Raw genomic sequence first — 7,791 nt, forward strand, 5'->3', positions numbered from 1 at the left:
TTTGGGAGGCAGAGGCTGGCGGATCACCTGAGGTCAGGAGTTCGAGACCAGCCTGGCCAATATGGTGAAACCCTGTCTCTACTAAAAATACAAAAATTAGTGGGGCAATGGTGGCAGGCATCTGTAATCCCAGCTACTCAGGAGGCTGAGGCAGGAGAATTGTTTGAACCAGGGGGGTGGAGGTTGTAGTGAGCCAAGATCGTGCCACTGCACTCCAGACTGGGTGACAGAGTGAGAGTCTATCTCAAAAAAAAAAAAAAAAAAAAAAAAAAAATATATATATATATATATATATATGGCTTACCCTATGGACTTTGCATGATATGTTTTTTATTTTTATTTTATCTTAGGCTTTCCAGTTTTTAACTCTTTAATTATTTAAATAATTTCATGAATATATGTTCAACATAAAAACATTAAAATGACACACAGCTATAAAGAATAAAAAGTAAGTTATTCTTCACATTCCTTTTGTACTAGATTCCAGTTTTTTTCTCCAGAGGTCAAACAGCTCATAGTGTGATCTTTTTGAGATTTAAACACACATGTGTATGTACACAAAACACACTACTTTAAAAAGTAAATGGGCCACACAAAAACCTGCACATAAATGTCTAAAGCAGCTTTATCGGTAATTGCCAAAACTTGGAAGCAGCCAAGATGCCTTTTAGTTTGGTAAACTGTGAAGCCTCCAGACAGTGGAGTATTATTCAGCTTTAAAAAGAAATGAGCCATTGAGCCATGAGAAGATACGGAGGAACCTTAAATGCTTATTACTAAGAGAAAGAAGCCAATCTGAAAAGGCTGCATATGGGATGATTCTAACTATATGACATATTGGAAAAGGCGAAACTATGGTAACAGTGAAAACCCAGAAATAGCCCAAATGTCTATCAAGTGTAAAAATTGATAAATTGTGGAATACTAAAAAAGAATTTGCTGTTATTACTAGTATCCTAGAAGTAGGATTGCTGAATCAAAAGTTATGTGCATTTTAGATCTTAATATCACAAACCCCTCATCCCACCCTCCAAAACCCTCCAGAAGAGAGGCTCTTTCAATTTCCATTCCCACCAACAGCCATTGAGACTCCCTGTTTGCCTGTACCCTTGCCAATACTGGGTACTATCCATTAATTTACCTTTTGCCAATCTGATGGGCTCATCCTCCTTTACAACTGAAATTCTTACAACTGGGACCTGTCATAAAATTGGTGTGTAGGAGCCTTTGAGAAGGCTGTCGGCAAATGAAGCAAAAACTCCAACCCTCTAATTTTCCACACACTGATTTAGGCTCTTTGGAAGATTAACAAATGGTTATCAGGGTAATTCTGAAAAGAAGTGGGGGCAGAGATTCCCACACAGAACCTAATGTTTTCTGGGTTGGTGGGGGTGGGGGGGCTTTGATTTGAATGGCTCCAGGACCCCCTCTGCCAGATGTCAGCAAATCACAGACATTCATCTAGCTGAAAGCCAACCTATTCAGTCTTTCTGGGCAACACATTCAGACAGAACCCAGCATTCTTGGCTCAGGGTGATGAAATAAATAGGACTTAATTTATATTTTAAAGTCTTTTTATCTCTCTGTAAGCCCCTGTGCTTCATTGAAAGAAAATTTGATCGAGATGTAGAGAGGTCAGAATGCAGCTTTAATAATTCACGATCTGTAATCTTGGCCCTTTCTTACTTTGCCTTAACATTTATTTGGAGGTTTGCCATTTCCCTCTGCTTCCCCTACATGATTCTTGAGCGACAGTCTTGTCCTTCTTCTAAACTCTCTTGCCTCAGCATTCAGACCGTTTCGGGTAGGATCGGAAGGTTTGATATCCACTTTGACCAATGAGAGACTTTGGGGGCAAACTGGGGCCCCTGACCCTCTCTCCAGGAGCCTTGATCTGCCAGTTAGAATATCTTATATTGATAAGATTAGTTGGTAATTAACAGCCCAGCCCAGTCAAGCAGAGGAGATGACTCAATTAGCAGAATGTCACTCCATCTAATTTACTTTGCTTATCAGAGATTTATTTTCTAATGACTACAGGAAGAAGAACAGGGCACCTTCAGAGGAGGGATCAGAAAGGGTTTAAAAGCTTCAGTGTGCTCTAACCTCTCTTTTTCAGCTGGTTTGCCTGGCAGTGAGGAGGCTGATAATGCCAATTTGGGGAATTGGCTGGTCTGATACACCTATCTCAAACTTGGGAAAAAAGAGGTTGAATGTTTCTGTTATCCCTCTATCTGATTCTTTTCTTTATTTTTAAGTTTTGTGGGTACATAGTAGGTGTATACATTTATGGGGTACATGGGATGTTTTGATACAGACATGCAATGTGAAATAATCAAATCATGGAGAATGGGGTATCCATCCTCTCAAGCATTTATCCTTTGTGTTACAAACAACCCAATTATACTCTTTTAGTTATTTTCAAATGTAAAATTAAGTTATTGTCTATTGTCACCCCTTTGTGCTCACATAGTAGGTCTTATACATTCTTTCTAACTATCCTCTATCTGCTTTATATTTTTTGAGCTAATCCTGTTTGTCATCTTTGTTTGATGAGAAAACTCCTCCCACAGCTACTTAGCTTTAGCTAGAGTAGTAGTAGCAATAACACCACCTACAATAATACTAGACAAGGTATTTATTAAAGCCTCTTGATACCCCAGGCATTGTGTTAAAGACTTTACATTGGACACATAACATTGAATCCTCTACACCACAGTTGGCAAACATTTTCTTAAAGGGCTAGATAATATTGTAGTTCTGGGGACCGGTCTTTGTTGAAACTGCCCAAGTTTGATTGTATTAAGAAAGCAGTCATAGACTATAGGCAAATAACTAAGTATGACTTGTTCCAATAAAACTTTATTTACAATAACAGTCATTTGGCCAGATTTCGGCTGTTGGCCATAGTTTGCTAACGCCTACTTTAAATCAGTGTTTCTCAGACTTCATATTGTGATTTATTTAGTCACAGAATCAATGTAGATGGTTGCAAAACTCATTTTTTAAAAACATGAAATAGAATAAAAACTATGTGGCTGGGCATGGTGGCTCACACCTGCAATCCCAGCACTTTGGGAGGCTAAGGCAGGTGGATCACTTGAGGTCAGGAGTTTGAGACCAGCCTGGCCAATATGGTGAAACCCTGTCTCTACTAAAATTACTAAAAAATTAGCCAGCCATGGTGGCATATGCTTGTAATCCCAGCTACTCAGGAGGCTGAGGCAGGGGAATCCCTTGAACCTAGGAGGCGAGCCTGCAGTGAGCCGAGATTGCCCCACTGCACTCCAGCCTGGGTGACAAAGTGAGGCTCTGTCTCAAAAGAAAAGAAAAAGAATAAAAACTATGTGAATGCATCACCTCTAATATGGATAACTCCTATTTGGTGAAATTTTAATTTCAGATGTGCGTGTATGTAAAACCATATATGCATATGGATATAGGTGTGTATGTATTTGTGTGCGTGTGAGTACTGGGTTTCAATGTGAAGTGTGTATCTTATTGCAGATTATAAGAGTTTGAAAAGTCCTGCTCTTAACTACCTAAAGTAAGTCTCATTATTACATGCATTTTACGGTTGAGGAAATAGAGATGTGGAAAGACATTCGGTGACTTGCCCCAAGTTACACAGCCTGAGGAGCCAGATTTTTTGATAAGACAGCAAGCCTCTGACATACAGCATTTTCCCATGCCCACTTTGGAATGGGTTAATAGCAGTGAAATGGTTAAAATTCCTTCCAGTGGAAGGAAAATAAAACAAGGGACAGGCATAGTCCACAAATTGAATGGCTTCTTGCTGAAGCGAACAGAAACGTCTCTTTTTCCTTCTTGGTATTTTCATTGCAAATACTATTTATCACAATGTATTTTTCCCCCAACGCATTTTAGAAAGTCAGTTGGAATTGATTTGAGGCTCTAAACAGTCTCCTGAATGAAAAAGCAAAGTGTAACCTATTCTAACAGCCCCTCTTCCTTAATCTAGAAACATGGGGAGATGCAATTTAAATGATAATGTTAACCAAAACGGGAGAATGCAATGCTATAGTAGGAGTGTTTGTTTTGTTGTTTTTTTAACCCCCACTGAAAGACAAATGGCTGAGACATTTATATCTGCAGCACTTATTAAGGAGAAAATGCTCAACCCGTTAATTTCATTGCTGTGGTGCTGAATATGAAGAAAGAATGTAGTTTCTGAGTGACTGCTGAGGACTCCCACAGTCCTACAAGATGGCGGCCAGGGAGGGGGATTCTGTGGCAACGTTCGAGAAGTCCTGAAATGTCGTCCGTTATCTAACATTTATCTGGGTGTTGCAGAATAAGTGTTTCTCGAAGTGAGACTTCTTGGAACATTTTCTCTTAAACTGAGGCTTTGGAGTCACTTTGTAAGTTTGTGTTTTAAAGCCAACCCTCTAAAACTTGTTTGCTGATCAATTTAAAGACAGGTCTCCCTGGCAACCATGTTGTACACAGGGTATGGATTATGTATACAGAAGATAGAACGTAGAGTTATCTGAAATAATATGTTAGTTTCAGTAAGAAAAGAATTAGTCAGAAATAAAATAAAGTAAGCATATTAGGATTTTTTTTAAAAGTGTGCCCCAATTTAAAAACACATCTATAGGAAATAAGGAAGAATATACACTTTGATGATTCTGCTACCTAACAAGACGACCATTACTATTTTATAATGGGTTTTGTTTTTCCATCTTTTTTCTTTCTTTTTTTTTTTTTTAAAGTGCTTTGGTTAAGAAGCCTCACAACTCTCCCCAGTTAACACCTTCATAAGGAAAGCAAAATTACAAGACGGCAAATGTACCAATTAGGACTCAGTTTACCTGTGTTTTCATGCTCCAGAGTGTTTGATACACATTTAACAACAAGCGATGTTTAGAGGAGGGAGCCCAAACTACCTCTACCCATAAGACTCCTCTAAAGTATCTAGGGTATTTATACCATGCCCTAACATCTTAGCTGTGCCTTGCAGGTTTTTGCATACCAAGGCTTTGTGGGCAAAAGATCCAGAACTAAACGACATCTACCTAGTCTATGTTACAGGCTGTGCCTTCAAATGTCAAGCTTTGCTAACCATGTCTCATTATCCAACAAGCTTAGTTTTTCTGATGGCTACCATGTCCAGTGTCGCTCAGAGAACTTCCAAAATTTCCTATACTATGTACGCCCATTGATTGAATATATATACACATGCATACACACACATACATACATGCATATACATATACACACATATTATTTTGCATATGTTTATATATCTTCACATACATAAACATACATATGACCAAAATTTATACATGCATCTACTTTAAAGAGCCAAGGTTCTAAAAAGCTTGTTATAAAGAGCAATAACTTGCTTCTCCTCATTTCCTTCCATTTCTCTCCCTTCGGAGGCAACCACTGTTGTCTCTTGTAGCTGATTCTTTTGGTACCTTCGGATACTTAAATGGCATGTTTATAATGTGATGTCTTGATTTCTCATATTCAGGTATTAACTGTTGTTTTTTTTCCTCAAGGAAAATGAGAATTTCGCTTTCTTGCCCCTCCCTCCCTGCCTCCACGACCTCTACCCACAACGCACACACTTCCTGTCTGAGTCTTTTGCAATGATTTTTGATAGTTTAATATTCGTTATTTCCCTGTGTCATGACCATGCCAAATGCCTTCCACAGTTGCATCATGTTCTGTGATATTTTTTTCCTTTACTGCACAACTTTTTGTTTTCCATGAAGTTAATAATAGTTGCCTTTTAAAAATTTGCTTAACGTTTTGTATGATCTCAACCCTGGTTCAGTCTCCAATTTTTGGCTAGTTCTGTAACTCTCCTCTGATTGTATCCCTCTGTATCACAAAGCTATTAATTCTACTTTCCAGGAGTATGAAGATCCTGGGGCTTCAAGCCTGCTCTCTGCTCCCTACACCAGGGGAGCAAACTCATTCTGGGCAATCCCCTCTGTCCATCCTCTGTAGTGGAGATCCTATTTCTCAAAGAACCATATGTTCTATGTTCTTGGTTTATCCCCTCAATTTCGTTGAGTACTTCTCTTACTAGCCTTCTGAAAAAGGACTTATTATTATTATTGGAGATGTTGCATATAGGTGTTGGCTATAGAATCCTAGGTTGGAAATATAAACCTCAAATATTTGAGACAGGTCCCAGTCAATTTAGAAAGTTTATTTTGCTAAAATAAACTTTAGCAAAAAAAGGTTAAGGACGTGTGCCCATGACAACTCAGCCTCAGTAGGTCCTGATGATAGGTGCCCAAGGTGCCCAGGGCACAGCCTGGTTTTTGTACATTTTAGGGAGACGTGAGACATCAATCAATATATGTAAGATGAACGTGGGCCAGGCGCGGTGGCGCACGCCTGTAATCCCGGCACTTCAGGAGGCCGAGGCGGGTGGATCACCTGAGGTCAGGAGTTCAAGACCAGCTTGACTAACATGGTGAAACCCCATCTCTACTAAATACAAGAAAAAAAATTAGTCGAGCGGGGTGGTGCATGCCTGTAATCCCAGCTACTGGGGAGGCTGAGGTAGGAGAATCACTTGAATCCGGGAGGCGGAGGTTGCAGTGAGCCGAGATCGTGCCATTGCACTCCAGCCTGGGCAACAAGAGCGAAACACCATCTCAAAAAAAAAAAAAATGTTGAAAGCTGGTTGGGTCCAGAAAGGCAAGATGACTCAAAGTGGGGAGGGGACTTCCAGGTCATAGGTAGATAACAGACAAAAGGTTGCATTCTTTTGAGTTTCTGATTAGCCTTTCCAAAGGAGACAATCAGATAAGCATTTATCTCAGTGAGTAGAGGGGTGACTTTGAATAGAATGGGAAGCAGGTTTGCCCTAAGCAGGTCCAAGCTTGACTTCTCCCTTTAGCTTAGTGATTTTGGAGTCTCAAGATTTATTTTCTTTTCACAGAAATCGCTTTCCTCAAAATTTTGAAGACGTGACTCCCCTGTCTTCTAGCTTTTAGAATTGCTGCTGAGAAGTCTAAAGCCACTCTGATTCTGACTCTTTGCATATAATCTGCTTTTTCTCTTGGTAAATGTGTAAAATTTCTTTGATCCTGGATTTTGAAAATGCCACAGCAATGTGCCTCAGTGTACCTTGGTCATGGTGCTGGTCTTTTGAACCTGGGAACACACGCTCTTCAATTCTGGAGAATTTTCTTGAGTTATCTAATGGATAATTTTCTCCTCTCCATTTTTTTTTCTTGTTTTCTCTTTCTAAAACTCTTGTTATTCAGATGTCAGTTCACTATTTTTTAAAAAAAATTCTTCTCTCTTATTTTGCATCCCTTTGTCTTTTTGCTCTCTTTTGGAAAAATTTGTCAGTCTCATCTTCCAACCTTTTTACTTTTACTCATCTTCCAACCTTTTTACTAACGCATTCATTTGTGCGTTAGCTTCTGAGGGCTTCTTTTGCATCCCTTTGTCTTTTTGCTCTCTTCTGGAAAAATTTGTCAGTCTCATCTTCCATCCTTTTTACTAACGCATGTGCGTTAACTTCTGAGGGCTTCTTTTGGCTTTTCACGTGTTCCTGTTTACAGTCCCAAGTAGAGTATTTGGCACAATGCCCTAAGGCATGGTAGAGTAACAGCAAGGAGGATGATGTGCTTGGAACAATGTGAGCAAGAGTGACTGTGGGAGCCAACAAAGCTATGAAAGATAATTGGAGGAGGCACATCACATAGCACATTATGGAACTCTGACTCCAAGTGGTGAAGCTGGAGTCTAAGCCTAGCTTTGTCCCTGCTTTGGAAAACTCAGTCTTTCTGATCC

The 7,791-nt window shown here is 39.5% G+C and overlaps 1 annotated feature.

The window, feature by feature from the left end:
* Positions 3,689 to 4,190: an enhancer, noted in NCBI's record as "NANOG hESC enhancer chr16:17033855-17034356 (GRCh37/hg19 assembly coordinates)". NCBI's record gives its function as "activates a minimal SCP1, AML or CMV promoter by ChIP-STARR-seq in primed H9 embryonic stem cells {active_cell/tissue: H9 hESC(primed)}" and the evidence as "EXISTENCE:reporter gene assay evidence [ECO:0000049][PMID:30033119]".

Source organism: Homo sapiens, chromosome 16, assembly GCF_000001405.40.
Source record: "Homo sapiens chromosome 16, GRCh38.p14 Primary Assembly".
Lineage (NCBI taxonomy): Eukaryota > Metazoa > Chordata > Mammalia > Primates > Hominidae > Homo > Homo sapiens.